This window comes from Homo sapiens, chromosome 3 (assembly GCF_000001405.40).
Source record: "Homo sapiens chromosome 3, GRCh38.p14 Primary Assembly".
In the NCBI taxonomy this organism is placed as follows: Eukaryota; Metazoa; Chordata; class Mammalia; order Primates; family Hominidae; genus Homo; species Homo sapiens.
In genome coordinates this window covers 4829828-4845800 of record NC_000003.12, presented here as the reverse complement: position 1 = coordinate 4845800, position 15973 = coordinate 4829828, and the positions used below count along the sequence as shown (strand labels likewise).

The 15973-nt window shown below is 41.6% G+C and overlaps 1 protein-coding gene and 1 long non-coding RNA gene across 11 annotated transcripts in view, besides 1 other annotated feature; one reads left to right on the top strand and one right to left on the bottom strand.

Moving 5' to 3' along the window:
* ITPR1 (inositol 1,4,5-trisphosphate receptor type 1) overlaps positions 1–15973 on the bottom strand; it is a 354159-nt gene that overhangs the window by 1706 nt on the left and 336480 nt on the right. For all 4 annotated transcript variants that reach the window (NM_001378452.1, NM_001099952.4, NM_001168272.2 and 1 more), the window contains 1 exon segment: positions 8866–9027. In NM_001378452.1, the coding sequence (NP_001365381.1) occupies positions 8866–9027 (162 nt within the window).
* The window catches only part of LOC124906209 (uncharacterized), a 73328-nt gene that overhangs the window by 41819 nt on the left and 15536 nt on the right, over positions 1–15973 (top strand). For 3 of the 7 annotated variants that reach the window (XR_007095795.1, XR_007095796.1, XR_007095794.1), the window contains one exon: positions 14783–14854. This is a non-coding gene — a long non-coding RNA (uncharacterized LOC124906209). Of the gene's footprint in view, positions 1–14441; positions 14526–14782; positions 14855–15973 lie in introns of those variants that run through there. The other 4 variants (XR_007095791.1, XR_007095790.1, XR_007095793.1 and 1 more) reach the window with 3 other exon arrangements.
* Positions 10859–11128: an enhancer, noted in NCBI's record as "active region_19356". NCBI's record gives its function as "activates an Ori minimal core promoter by ATAC-STARR-seq in GM12878 lymphoblastoid cells {active_cell/tissue: GM12878}" and the evidence as "EXISTENCE:reporter gene assay evidence [ECO:0000049][PMID:35858748]".

Sequence of the window (15973 nt, the reverse complement as noted above, 5' to 3'; positions counted from 1 at the left end):
GTACGATAGTAACAACACGCCATACTAACAAGAAAAGCAGTGTTTAGAATCCTAGGTTTGAGAGGGAGGGTTCGTGTCCACACTTTCAGTGGGTCCTGATTTTTCTCTTCAATGACTCTTGAGTAGTTGGTTAGAGAAAAAAAAAATTACCTACCATAACTAGGAAAATGAGAAATGTTCTCAAATCTCTTTGAGGTCCAGAATGATTAAATGCTGTAAATAATGCTGTGACCATTCACGGTATCTATTTCTTGCCACCCAGTAGACACTGAGGCTCGCTGAAGGTCAGGCGAGACCATTGCCTAAGACTAGTTCAAATGAAAAAGTACTTTCAAAATCCCAAACAAGAAGCCGATTCTATTCATTTGGTTGCTGAACTAAATATATTCTCATGTTGATGGGTCTCTAGACCTGTTCTAGGTATTTTAGGGCATACTTACTTCTGTCTCTGTATTAAGATTTTCCTTAACCCAGTTAGTCTTAGTTTTGGATTTTAGGGTGAGCATTCAAGTCAACTGAGATAAAAAGGCTATACGGAATATATATTCAAGAAAATTGTTGTCTGCAAGTGGGTTAAGGTCCTACTCCTATGTTTTTAGCTTCCTAAAATTGTAGAGGAATTAGGGTAAAAAGAATAAAGGCTTTGGAATCAGATCTAGTTTCTTATGGTTTTGTCATTTAACTTATCAAAGTCTGTTTTCTCATCCATACAATCAGGATGATAATTCCTAGCTGATTGGTGGAGAATTGCGAGGTTATACGCAAATTTATTAGCATAGCATCTGTCACATAGTAGATGTGACACTTAATCTCACTTTTCACATGAACTCATTTTTGGTACAAAATATCTGGAGAGAACATAAAACAAGACTAATTTACCTAGGTTCAATTTCAATGTGGTTATTTTTTCTTCTTCAAAACTAGCATTATCCTCTCAAATCAAAATACTATTTTTAGGCTCCTGTGGAGATGCTTTCTCTGTTATAATTTAGATGAGAAGACTTACAAGGACTTAGTATTTCCAAAAGGTAGCTTTTAATAAAGCTTTTAATTAAGAATTGGATTAGGAAATTCCAGCTAGCCCCTGAAGTTTCCTTAGGTGAGTGACATCTTTAAAGGAAGTGTTACACACTACACTGTATCCACAGATTCGGCTCAGGAAGGAGAACCTAATATGACACATGAAATAAATTCACAATTAGGTTAAAATGCCAGTAATTCATTCATCTTACTACCTGATAGTTCAGATGTTTAGCTCAGATTTTTCTCCCACAACCCTTCCCTTGGCAGGTAACCTTGAGAGGGAATCCAATACAACTTAGCTAAATTTGGATAATCTCAAGTGTTCAAATTGATTTAGAAATCTTGGTGTGCTCAGCCAGGTGCAGCGGGCTCACGCCTGTAATCCCACCACTTGGGGAGGCTGAGGTGGGCAGACTGCTTGAGCCCAGGAGTTCGAGACCAGCCTGGGCAACGTAGCAAAACCCCATCTCTACCAAAGGGGAAAAAAAATTAGCTAGGCATGGTAGCGTGCACCTGTAGTCCCAGCTACTTGAGAAGCTAAGAGTGGGAGGATCACTTGATCCTGGCAGGTGGAGGTTGCAGTGAACAGTGATGATGCCACTGCACTCCAGCCTGGGCAACTGAGATCTTGTCTTGGAAAAAAAAAAAAAAAAATCTTGGTCTGCTCAACCCTTATTGAAGGATACTTTACTCAAAGCTTATATTTAAAGCTGCTGAAATCTTTCAACTCAAAGTTGAATGTCAAAGTTGGCCATTAAGACTTTTTTCCCCTGTAATTTTGCTTTAAATAACTACTTGTATTTGAGATGACCTTTTAGTATGCGTATTTTCATCCCTGTTTGTTACATCAGCTCTCCTTGACTTTTCAATTTGTCAGTTAGTCTTTCTCTTCAACTTGAAGAAACCTCTGAAACTTTACAACAAAGGAGTCTTCAGTTGGTGGCCTGGCTTCCTTTTCACTTCCACAGCCGCGGCCTGATGCCTCCTCAGTTAGCAGCCCTATTCATCTGTCTTCATAAGTGATCCCATCGCCCACCCTCCCTCCGTCCCTATCCTTAAGGCTCCCCACTGATGTGGGTTATTGGCCAATTCTTTGCTCAGGTAGTCATATTCCTGATAATTTTAAGTACCAACTACACATCTAATGTTCTTTTCTGTTTCTCTAGAAGAATGGTTCTCAAACTTCAGCATGCGCCAGAATCACCCAGAACATTTGTTAAAACACAGATCAGAAACAGAGTTTCTGACTCAGTAGGTCTGGGGTAGGTCCCATGAATCTGCTTTTCTAACGATTTCCCAGATGATGTAGACGTTGCCGGTCTGGGGACTACACTTTGAGAACCACTGCTCTAGAAGAGGTTTTTCACTGATAATCTCCAAAATCGGACAAGATCATTTTGAGTATATACTTGAACACTTTTTTTAAAAAAAGTAATTTGTGTACATATATTATTTTTCTCAAATGAGGGAAGCTCTTGGAGAAGATTGTCTGCAACTGAGCATATAGTAGGCACACACATTTGACTGATACTCTTTTGATTAACCATGGCCTTTTAGACAGAATGGCTGTCATTTAAGTCAACATCACTGCCATTTAAGTGACTGCTAAAGGAGAAGGAATTGGGCAACTGCTAAAGTGTTTGGCCTTTTAGTAGCAGTCATCATCCAATTACAAGAGAACCAAAAAAAAAAAAAAAAAAAAACCCCTCAAAACCCTGAAGGACTAAATCTGACCTATAAGAAACTGAGGCCAACAATTCTGGACGCTTAGGTTTCTCCAGCCTCTTAGTGCATATTCTCACATAATTTCTGGTTTTATTAGTTCAATTCTTCTTATCTACTTACCTACCCCACCTACATACATTCACACGTACTATCTATATATCTTGTTATAAGGCATCATTATTGTCTGTTACTCTTACCTACATCAAAACAAATATAATGACCAAAGTCTATCCTTAGCATTTTTGTCAGATAATAGTCTCTCTGGACATCTGAAACAAAATTGACTCTTGAGTAAAAAAAATCTATGGTAACTGTATTCAAAATTCTAATATTGAAACATCTATTTTGAGTAGTGTGAGATGTCTCATTTATAGTACATTTAAAAATCCTCAAAACGGCTGGGCATGGTGGCTCACTCCGTAATACCAGCACTTTGGGAGGCAGATCACTTGAGGCCAGGAGTTCGAGACCGGCCTGGCCAACATGGTAAAACCCCATCTCTACTAAAAATACAAAAATTAGCCAGGCATGGTGGTACATGCCTGTAATCCTAGCTACTTGGGGGCCTGAAGCAGGAGAATCACTTAAACCTGGGAGGTGGAGGCTGCAGTGAGCTGAGATCGTGCCACTGCACTCCAGCCTGGGCAACACAGGGAGACTCCGTCTCAAAAACAAAACAAAGCAAAAAACCCAAACCAAACCTCAAAATTCCCATGTAGCTAAGGATAAACAGTTGTAGTAATGCTGTTCTTCACATCTATACAAATGTAGAAACTAGCTTGAATTTCAGCATTCCTCCTTTTGACTCATCTAAACAAGAAGCAAAGAATAGTGTAGCTTTACAAGTCAGATACAGCCAGACATCTGAAAGACTGTTCATGAAAACACGAGGCATACAGTAGAAATGGGCAAATTTTAATCTACCAGTATTGCCTCTAAATGATTAAAGGCTGGCACTGGAAGGAAAGTTCATTGACAGCACACAAATGCCACATTTCTGGTTTATAACACATCTTAATAGTCTTTGAAAAGCTGCTTTCATGTTACAGGAAGGTCTTGGTTACTCAGATTCTAAACAGCTAGCAAATTCTAGTAATCACAGTTATTTTCTACAGCCCTATAAAATCAGTCATGTTCAGAATGATGAGCCTCAAATACTGAGAAATGAAACCAAACCATCCCTTGAATACAAATATGTTGATTTACTATCAATGTATAGATACAATTCAGATTCTTAGAGTTGATCTCAAATGCTCTGTTTCTCTCTATTTCACCTGGCCAACTCTTACTCAGGCTTTGAAACCAAGCTCCTGAATTACCACCTCTGAGAAGACTTCTGTGGTAATTACTCTAATCCTCTCCCGAAGATCAGATTGAACAAATCACTCCCTTTTCTCCATTCCCAGAGCAATGTGTTCACAGCTCGGTTACACACTCACCAAGTTTAATTATAATTGATCTGTTTACTTGTTTCCCACTCTAGACTTTTAGTTCTTGAAGGCAGAGAAGAGGATCTATTCATCTTTGTAGCCCCAGTACCTAATGCCGCACCTGGCAAACAGGTGTTTCATATGTGTTGGCTGAAAGAAGGAACGGAATTAACCAGACCATACTGCCATTCCTTGAGCATGCCATGCATTTTCATGCCGTTGCTCATGCTGATTCCTTTCCTGGGAAGCCCCCTACTGCATTTCTCTGCCAGCTCAGAAGTCACCTGCTTGTAAGATTATAAAAGCTAAACTCCTTCTGCACTGCAAACTTCACACAGGACCACTACCTACCTACTTCTTTGTGCTCCATGAAACTATTCATGCCTCAAGTCATTCATACTGTATCAGATTGCTAGAGGTCTACTTCTTTGTCTTTCTTGCTAGATCCTGGATCTAGAGGGCAGATGTTGACTTAGTCTTCTTTTGTGGTCCCAGCACAGTATAAGGAACATAGATGCAGTACGGGTCGTTTAATATTCCATTTTCCAACTTTGGGCAGTTATTCTAATCTTGTGTTATGCCTTCTGTCCTTAAGCAGTTAATGTTAGCAAGATAACCCTCTTGTATGAAAAATGCCAAATGCTGTAACATGCTAATGTGATCTGAATTTTCAAGCACTTCTTGTATTCCTAGCAACAGCAAATAATGGTCGCTGTCCTATAGGAAGCCAGTCATATTTTCAAGAAAGTTAGCCCTTCTTAGTATTTGCTCTTTTGCATTATGAAGAAAACATGCAAAAGATTTTTAAGTTCTTACATTAGTTCTCCTCCTTGGAATAAGAATGTAAGAGAATCACATTTAGTGTTCAGAATCTCTTGGGAGGGGAAACTTCAAGATGAGAGGCATCGTTAAATAATACTTAGAATAGCAATCCTAACCAACCATTCTTGGCAATAATAGAAAAAGTGACACCACTAACCATAATTTTACTAATATCCTAACAAGAACTTTTTTCCCTCAGATTGATACATAACGAAACAATCAAAGAGGTAAATAACAGTAAAGATTTAGACCAAAGTCATCCACATTTAAGCTATCGTTGCTCGAGTCTGCTGGTTTTTGAATCAGAAAATCTAAAACAAACAACAACAACAACAAAACAAAAAAAACCTCTAAGTAATGGAGCAATTTTTGTGTTTTCTAGCACTTTTACTAGTGAATGGTATTCTTTCATAGCTGTTTTAAAAAATATCACAAGATTTCTTGGTCATTAATCATTCATGGAGCTTTTATTTTTTAATTCAAAATTTTTTCCCACAAAGGGCAAGAATTCTCACAATTACTATTTAAGAAAGAGCAGCTCTGTAACATATCTGCATTTTTTAATATCTTTTGCACATAAAGGGTTTTTAAACCTTTATGATTGCTATAACCAAACTTAATGAAATTCAAATCTATTCAACAAGTTGATTCTCAAATGCATTAAAGGTTTGTAGGACGTTACATAATCAAAAGAAAACACTGACTACTTCCTTTTAAAAGATGCAAATCCCCCTGCCCCCTCAAAAAAAAAAAAAAAAAAAAAAAAAAAAAGCAGCTATGCTGAATTTTTCCTGTAATTCTGAGTACCTTAAAACTTAAGTAGATCAATCCTGGTAAAAGCACTTGAGAATGTACTACTGGATTCTCATGCTTCTTTTTAACTTATAATATCTTCCAAGAAAAAAAACAGTTCAAATTCATTCACAGGGGAAGGGCTTTCTGAAGAGTGGTTCCAACTGCCAACTTCAAAATAAAAAATGCATAAAAGGCTGGAATCAAGCAGTTTAAACCATACTGGTTTTAATGTCACTTAATGAACCTTAGTCCATATGTAATCAAATTTTACATATTTTGTTTAAACTAAAACTTTGGCTTATCCAGAATAATCTTATCTTGGATTTTAGAAATGCCAAGTCTCTACTATGCTCACTTGTATAAAATGACAATGAATGTATCCTCCATACCATTTAAGTATATGATGCGACTTGACTTCTGAAACTTCAAGCTTTTTTTTAAAAAAAGAGTAAGAACTTAAACAGTCAACCATGAAAGGCAAACAGTACAGTGACATAACAAAGCAAATAAAAACACACACACACACCCCTGACTGGATGATCAGGAGCTCCTGCCCTGGCAATGCCTAAGAACCTTCTGGGCTCCTTTGGTATCCTCATCAAGAAAATAAGGGAATGAGGTGAGATGGCATCTGAAGTCTCGGATACTGTCCTATACCTCTATTCTTTTTTTTTTTTTGAGATGGAATTTCACTCTTGTTGCCCAGGCTGGAGTGCAGTGACGTGATCTCGGCTCACCACAACCTCCGCCTCCTGGGTTCAAGCGATTCTCCTGCCTCAGCCTCCTGAGTAGCTGTGATCACAGGCATGTGCCACCACGTCCAGCTAATTTTGTATTTTTAGTAAAGACAGGGTTTCTCCATGTTGGTCAGGCTGGTCTCGAACTCCTGACCTCAGGTGATCCACCCTCCTTGTCCTCCCAAAATGTTGGGATTACAGGCGTGAGCCACCACGCCCGGCACTATACCTGTATTCTTTACTCTAATTCCTCAGCTCAACTCACTCCTTTGATGAGGCTCAATGGTTTGTAAAGTGTGCACTGAAGCAGAGTCAGAATCACTCTTCGTGAACAATTCAAAATAACAGATTCTTAGCTCTGAAAGGACAGATAGTGTAGGGAGGCGTTGCCTGGTTTTACCACCACAGAATGCCCATTAATAGTTTGTTTCAGATACATTTTAAGAAACTCTCTAGTAAATTGGTAACACCCAGTTTCTCAGATCAACTGAAACATACCCCCAAAGAGCCTCCAAGTGTGACAATGAGAAGCAGAAATGAGTGAGCAAGAATGAATGCCACTCGCATTGGCATGTGAGAGCTAGAATGCCTCACTGTTGCAATTCCAGTACCACGGGTGTGAAACAAAGATCCTCTGTTTCTTTGGAAAATGACACCAGATTTTATGGAGAACTGAAGTGTTCCTTTATTTAAGTATTAGTTCAGTGTCTGTAAGATTTTTTGGCACCTAATTTAAACATCTGATTTAACTGAGATTCTTGTAGCCACAGTTATCTCAAATGGGAGAAGAAGATAACTAAAGCTTGCTGGATGTGTAAAGAAGTTCACCTCACTGGGGGGTTGGGGGGGCAGTGCCAGAAGCAGCTGTAGCCACCAATGTCCTCATGAGTCCTGCAGAACATCTGCCAAATGTTTCACGGCGGGGGGCGGGTAAAATGTTAATATTAAGCAAAGTAATCTAGTTAGATCTTCATTAGTTTTACTTATTTAGGTTATTACTCATTTTATGTAGCTACCAAGCTCAGAGCTATAGACAACCTTCATAAATAAGGCCTTCTTTTCCTACTAGTCTTTTTTATTTGCACCTTAATACAGACGAAAGAAAAGAACTTGAGGCCAAATGGTATCTCAGGGCACAGTTTGGAATAATTTAGTTTGAAAAGAAATATTAATATAAATCTAAGTATGATGATTAAAAATGCTCTGTAAACCATCTCCAGTAAGAGCATTCTAGATGCGGTCTTCATTAGTTATCATCTTTGTAAGAGTGATAAATCACCCGTGGGTGTACCTTGCAACTTACCTCCAGTGCAGACATGGCCCATGCCTATTGCTGTGCAACACTATAATCTTGTCTATGGAGTTGATTAAAGAGCTTTCAGAAACTCACATAAAATGCTGAACTGAACATGATTATCCCAGTCACTTACAGAAATGCACTAATAAAACCAATCAGGGTCTTCTCACCACCCAGGGTACAAGTCCTTAATACACAGCTGCATCCTATCACTAGATAACCACCTGGTGACTGTGGCATGTTCATTTTAATGGAGTCAAAAGGGCAGAAACAGAGTACGCACGGTTTTGTATAAACATGTCCCCTACAACTTACTTTAAATTGGAAACTGCCTGTTTCCAATTTAAATTCTGCCCACAGTACTGCCCGCATCCTGCTTCCTATCCATAAGATAAGGGCGAAGCATTTATCTTACGGATAGGAAGCAGGGTGCAGGCAGTATTTCTGTGGATGGTTGAGGCCTGTGAGATCAGGGAGTATGTCTATATTGTTCACTGTTTTATCCCCAACACCTGGCATAATTCCTGTACTATGATAGCCACTCAGTAAGCCACTGAGAAAAGAATGAAACCAAAAGGGCTTTTCCATGACTATGGTTTAGCCTAGGATGCTGAATTTAAATATATGGGGTGAGGATTTGACAAGTCTGAGGGCTAGGAAGCAAAACAAGAAACAGCTTTTAATCTTCCACAGTACATAAAGTAAAAAGGGTATGGCTTTATGCATAGTGGTTTTTGGACAGTACTTCACTGAAGTAGTCTGCATTTCCCTCCTTTTTTTTGGTTTTGTTTTTCATATTAAAACCATGTCCTGAGCAGCACTGAAAGTAGCACCATGGCTTTATCCTGGAAAAGGGCAGTGAAGGGGATTGGGGTGAGGAGACTGGAGGAGTGAGTGGGTTTGTCCCCTGTTGCCTGGCTCCCTTTTCCATCTAGATGAAGCACTACTGATTTTCCTCATCAGATTTGGTGTGGTGATAGTGGGTGTGGGTGGGGATAGTGATGGGAGGGTAGGCGCTGGGATTTTCTTTCTTTACCTGATCCTTTAATTCCGACAGCTGGCCAGAAAGGTTCGTGACAAGTTTCATGGTGGACTCCAGCTTCTCCTGCAGGTTTCTCAGCTCATTCTGTTCTCCTTCAGAATCACTGCTGACCAATGACATGGCTCTCATCCTGGGGAACCAGTCAAGGTTTCTTTCCTAGAATCCACATTAAAAAAAAAAAAAAAAAAAAAAAAGACTGAGTCACTTCTAGAGGTAAAAACAAGAAAGGCCAGCTTACCGTGCCATGTTTCCTAACTCTCATTAGGTTATCTCCTTCTATGGCAGAACTTATGTGCTGTGTATTTTTTTAATTGCTCAGTAGCTATCTTTTTAATTGCATACAATGGAACTCTGAATTCTTAGAGGAAGCCACTTTAAATTTAAATATAGGGGAAATATAGGTTCTAAACAAGAGTCCTAATCTCCAAATCTGAATACTGCCACTGCTGCTCTGATCTTTGCAAATTACATGGCTGATGAGTTTGGTTTTTTTAAAAAATTGTGGTAAAATATGCATAACATAAAATTTACCATTGTAACCATTTTAAGCATACAGTTTAGTGGCATTAAGTACATTCACACTGCTGTGCAACCATCCCCATCATCTGTTTCCAGAACTATTTTTTTATCTTCCCCAAGTGAAATTCCATCCCCATCAAACACTAACCCCATTCCCGCCGGCCCCGGGCAACCACCATTCTATTTTCTGTCTCCATGAATTTGACTGCTCCAGGGGCCTCATATTATGCTGTGTATTTTAAAATGCATTATACTGGGAAAACCTTTTGCAAACACTTGAAGTGAAGTGAATTTTAAGGTCCCAGGTGTTCTGTCACTTAACAGATACGTGTGCATGTATGCGTTTGCGTGGGTGAGGAGATCATTAAGAGGCTGAAAATGGGGAATAGGCTCTTCTGTCAATGTCCCCGTTTATGAGCTTATAGAAACCACTCCTCTTGTTTCCTTTTCCTTCCAGCCTGAAGTGGTTGATGGGTGCTGGCAACTAGCCTAAGAAAGGCCCATTCAGTTTCCTCCCCCGTCCATCCCCATCCTTTTGATGTCTATAGCTTATGCCTGTAAACAGTATTTCTCACTACTGGTTAACAGAATGGGACAACTCCTCCTCCCACCTCACTTCCTTCTGCCCACATATGCCTTTCTCCCAAAGAGCATGCCGCATACATAAGTTCTGTACAGAGAGGCAGGAATGAACAGTAAGAAAAGCTTAGCATGAGACAGGGGGAAGAAAACTGACTCATTCCACATGTCTGGTGTCATTCTCACCTGGACCAGTTTTATCTTGTAAGGATACATTTAATGGTCTTTCTAAAACAAATCAAGCCCCCTCCCACACACACACACACTCACTCGGAATGCTGGATAATTGTTGCTTTGTGTACACCGTGGGGGTCGGCGACATTTTGTGTGTCAATATTTTCAGCTTTGTGGGCCACCTGGTCTCTGTCACAACTACTCAGCTACTCCGTTATACCCCCCAAACAACCAGTAAATAAATAAATGGGTATGTCCATGTTCCAATAAAACTTTATTTACAAATGCGGGCAGCAGGCTGGGTTTGCTCACCTCTGCTGTATACAATAGAAGGCATCAATATATTTAAAATAATGAAACTCCATGAGACATGTCTAAATATTACAACTCAAGTGAGATCATTGAGCTGTATCTTGACCTAGGGCCATCTAGCAATATAGAAGCCCTATAAGAGAGCTAGATGAAAAATATCACAAGCAGTCATACCACATGGACAACAAGGTGTCATAGAGTGTTTGCTTAAGATACTGGTGGGTGGGCGGGCAGGGTCACAGTCACTAGTTTGTGAGCTTTATGAAGGCAGGAACCACCTTAGTATACTGACTAGAGCATAGTAGACATTCAATATTAATAAAAGCTTGTGGAAGGACAGAATGATATGCAACTCTTCTTCTGCATGCACCCTAATAACAAATGCTTAAGTAGTAAGCCTGAGCTGCTTATCGTGACTGCTGGAGGAGAAAAATGGCAATCTCTACCTTCCTATACCCTGAATAAACACTTCATTCATGTGTCTTAACATTAGCTTATATTCATCAATTTCCCACCACAGAGCAATGGGCAAAAGATCGTTAAAAAATATTCCATTTCAGAGATGACTAGCTGAGAAACCCAAAGTGCTTCCCCACCTGTAACCAGTTTTCTCCCGTGCAGCTGCAGTGGCCTATCGTTGACTGTACTCATCTCTCCTGTGTCAATCCTTCAGACACAGCCACATCTTCCCACCAAGGAAGTAGCCCATGTTCAAGGACTATGCAACTCTGAGGAGGAAACCTCATTTTTCAGAAGAGGGCACACATAGGCGACAGGTCACTGGTGATCACTCACTCCCACTAGGGCGAGGGGAGGAGGGATGACGTGGGCTGGGCTGCTGAAGCCACAAACCAAAGCACAGCTGCAGAGAGATCACTTAGCACGAGGCCCTGGATACTCACGGTGGCTGCTACCTATTTTTGCAGACTGACCTCAATTGAGGAAAACAAATTGAAGAAAAAAGATACAAAGTCCCACTTTGGATACAACAATGTTGAGGATACTACAGTGAGCAACAGAGACATGGTCACTGCATCCTGGACCCCCTCAAAGGAGAAACAGTTTTGATACCTAAGTATGTGATAGAATTCCTGCCATCAAAGTGCTTACAATTTAGTCAAGGAGAGTGACCATCTAGATTTTCTTTTTAACAGGCCAGTCCTGGTGGCTGGTGCCTGTAATCCCAGTGCTTTGGGAGGCCGAGGTGGGTGGATAGCATGAGGCCAGAAGTTTGAGACTGGCCTGGGCAATAGAGTGAGACTCCATCTCTATAAAAAATAAAAATAATTAGCTCGGTGTGGTGGTGGGCACCTGTAGTCCTAGCCACTCGGGAAGCTGGGGCAGGAGGATCGTTTGAGCCCAGGAGGTCGAAGCTGCAGTGAGTCATAATTGTGCCACCGCACTACAGCCTGGGTGACAGAAAGACTCTCTGAAAACAAATAAAAAACTAACTAAGGAATAATGCAGGCTATGTTGTATCTAGGAGCGGTAGAGAGAGTAGTGTCCAAGTAAGACCCAACAACCAGTGACTGATTGATTGGCTAAAATCCTCTTCAAGCAAGGCTTGGCCCTAAAGAAGGTTAGCCCTTGGGCAAGCATGAGGGCATTTCACAGAGGCCACTGGCACAGTGAGGCTCCAGTGTGGCTGGAGCTGGGGATGAGGGCAGACAGGCAGGAGCAGCTTGGACTGTTGAAGACTAGAGGGAAACAGAAGGAAGCAGGAACTCTGTGAAAGGCCGCCGTGCCTTACCAGACCAGGGGAGAGGAGAGAGGATGGACATTCACAGTCCTCACTGCTAGCAGTCGGAACTCACCTGTAGCTCACTTATTACTGACATGCAAATGAATCTAAACTGCCTAAAATGTTAGCGAATCCATCTAAAATCTGGCTTTCAAATCCTTCATATGTTCATTTGCTTAGCAAACCTTCTATAAAAATAGAAAACACACATTTCCAAACAGAGTCCACATTAATGAGGCCTTCGAAAGACTCCAGAAAACCAATGCAAGAGTCTGCACATAGCCGAAAGTTTAAGGAACAGTTTCTCTCCCTCATTCCTAATAGCAAGTGACCAAATGACTACAGATTAAAATGAGAATTTTCCTCACCTTCTTTCATGCCATATGTACCTCCTGGCCCTCTAGGCAATGATTTCAGAAGGGTCTTTGAACAAATAAATGCAAAATGCACAGACTTTCTCCATTCAACAGCTTTTTACTGAACTTTTACAATATCTGTGTCCTGCATGGGGTTGAGCGCTGAGGATCTAAAGATGAGAAAGACAAGGTCTCTATTCTCAAGCTGCTTTAGTCCAAGAACTGTGGTCACCGGCCAGGTCTCAATGCATAGTTCTTCGCCTCTGTGGAGCTGCACGGAGGCCCTACCTCCAAGGGTGAGTGTCTAAAGAGTGTGTGCTGAAGACACGAATGGGGCCCATCAGCATGCCAAGGGCCGCTCCTGGCATCTCTGCCCCTCGCCTCAGTGGTGGTGGAGAGGCACTGATGCCCTGCGTCTTGTGCTGCTACATGGCGTACCTGTAATCCTGGGACTTGATGGCCCCACCCAAGGGGTACATAAAGCCATAAAAAGAAATAATGCATCTTTTTAGAATGTACAATATCCATTTTAATCAATGGTAAATGATTGAAATATTTTTATATTAAATTCAAAAAGTTACGTAGACCAGATAGAAAGGTCAATTTATTTTTTTGAGACGGAGTCTTGGTGTGTCACCCAGGCTGGAGTGCAGTGGCGCCATCTCAGCTCATTGCAACCTCTGCCTATCTACCGGGTTCAAGCTATTCTCATGCCTCAGCTTCCTAAGTAGCTGGGACTACACGCATGCACCACAATGCCTGGCTAATTTTTGTATTTTTAGTAGAGACTGGTCTTGAACTCCTGACCTCAGGTGATCCAACCACCACCTCCCAAAGTGCTCAATCAAATGTTAAAACACGGCGTTTCAAAGAAGGTCATACTTTGTGCAGGCCACATGGGCCATGTGCTCCCATCCTAGGGATAAAGCCTCATTCTCCATTTCACAGGAGGCCTTCAATGCAAAGATAGCAAAAGGATTTTCTGGTCCAGAAATTTATCAATCACCACCACACAGAGTCTCCCCCAGTGCCTCCCTTAATATCTAATAATGAAAAGCTGGGCTACGAGGGATCCCACTGGCAAGCATTCTTATCTTTTCTGCACTGAAGTGGGGGAGAGCCCCAAATTTAGGTGTTACCAGTGTTTTAATTAAATAATCATCCTGGGCTGTGAAATTAAATCTCAAATTACCAAGAAGTACCTGGTAGTTAAAATTAATTAGCAATTTTAGCCAAGCTGTTCTCTCAATTTCCCGTTGGCTTTGCATCCTGTGCAGTAGGACAGGCTCTAGTGTGGTATAAGGTTCCCCACCAACAGGGTCCCCCTCTGCACAGAGAATCTAAATCTCAAAGTGCAAATGTTTAGACTATAACCCAGTTACTGGAATAGGCACAGAGAGAACACCTGAATCCAATTACTTTCTCTCTAGCTAAGACTTTCATACAAAACTCTGAGCTTGTTTGAGTGCTGAATGACTCCAGTGAAGCCTGTCACCCACGCCTCTCCAGCCAGCCAGCGTCTGAAGGCCTAGAAATGTTTGCAGAATCTTGCCTGTATCATCTATTCAAGATCAAAAACGTGTCTCAGTGTCTTGGCTTCTAATGGATTTTTGGAAAAGTCATCTTCAGCTAAGACGCTTTGTCTGTTGTGAATTATCTTGGGGTGTGTGTGTGTATATGCGGTTGGGAGGGGAAGGTGGGGAGAGGATTACGGGGTCACTGAGCATCTGTCGGCCGCATCTGCCACTGGGTCTGACTCTGGCTTCAGTCTGCTTTGCTTCACTCACTCCTTGCTGCTGGCATCTCACATACCGATGTCATTAGGCACTGTCTGCCCCGGTCCTCCTACAATCCAGCCAGTACAGTTCCCGTCACAGCAAGTGCTTCCTCTCTCGGAGCAGACAAACTAACTGAAGCCACAGCCGGAAGCAGGCTGACCACAAGTGCTAAGGTTCTGGTTAGTTCTTTTCTAGGTAAAGTTGGAAAAGTCCCTGCGAAGGCAAACACTGAAGTTTTAGATATGGGGGTGGTACTGACCAACCTCTTGAAATGTCCTTGACTGGAAAGAGGGAGAGAGACAGAGAGAGGGAGTGAGTGTGTGTGTGTGTGTGTGTGTGAGAGAGAGAGAGAGAGAGAGAGAGACAAAGACAGACAGACGGAGGAGGAAGTTGGATTGTATGATGCAAATGCGAATCATTCTGAGAAGTGGGGTATTTTTTTTTCTTCCCAGGTTCAAAAGAAGAGGCTGTTCTAAGAAAGACTACCGAGTAATCAATCACCTCCTCAGAGAAAGTCTGCTCAGGTAGAGTTTTACGTTTACCACCTAAACGATGGAACATTTTTGTGGAATCTTTTATAGCCAAATCAGAGAATGAGGCGTTGAGGGTGAGGGGGGCTTGAGGGCAAAAGAAAGGGTCATGGGGGAGAAGATGGGTCCTAGAAAAATGGTCTTGTTGCTTTCTCTGCCCTTGAGAATCCCCTCTGGGAAGACGCAAGGAGGCGAAGATGGTCTTTCCAACTCAAATGGCAGCTTCATGTCTACTGCTCTCACTAGGCAGGAAGACAAACTGGATGTTCTCAGAATGCCTAGGGATGCTCAGGTGATGGAAACGACTAGAAGGGGGTACGGGGTAGGCCTGGAAACAGAGATTTGGCCTCCCCATGTATTTAAACCCTCAGAAAATGTCAGGAGGAGGAGGCTTGAAGATAATATTTATGTCTTCAAAAGCAGGAATATGGGACACTTAACGGACTTTAAATCATTTGTCCCTTTTATGAGCTAGGGTGATTATTTTCATTGAAGAGGAAGAAAAAAAAATTAGTCTTTAGAGCTAATTTTTCTAAGATCACAGCAAAACAAAATGAAACCTAAACCCTCCAAAAACAAAAACACAGAATCTGTTGGTTTTGGTGAAAAAATAGTCATCTTTATGTTCAGTAGCTCTGAAATGCCACTTAATAATATCTATTATAGGCCAGGCATGGTGGCTCACGCCTGTAATCCCAGCGCTTTGGGAGGCTGAGGTGGACGGATCACCTGAGGTCAGGAGTTCGAGACCAACCCGGCCAACATAGTGAAACCCTGTCTCTACTAAAAATACAAAAAAATTAGCTGGGCATGGTGGCATGTGCCTGTAATCCCAGCTACCCAGGAGGCTGAGGCAGGAGAATCGCTTGAACCCAGGAGGCAGAGGTTGCAGTGAGCCGAGATGGTGCCAATGCACTCCAGCCTGGGCAACAGAGCAGGACTCCGTTTCACACACACACACAAAAAAAAAAAAAAAAAAAAAAAAACTGTTATACATGTTTTAAAAAAAACCCTAAAAAATGGATCCCATCTTTGGACACAGTAAGATCAGAGACAGCCTGAGGCTCAGGGGGAGGGAGGGAGGGAGTGATAAATAGGAGGTGTGCAGAGGAT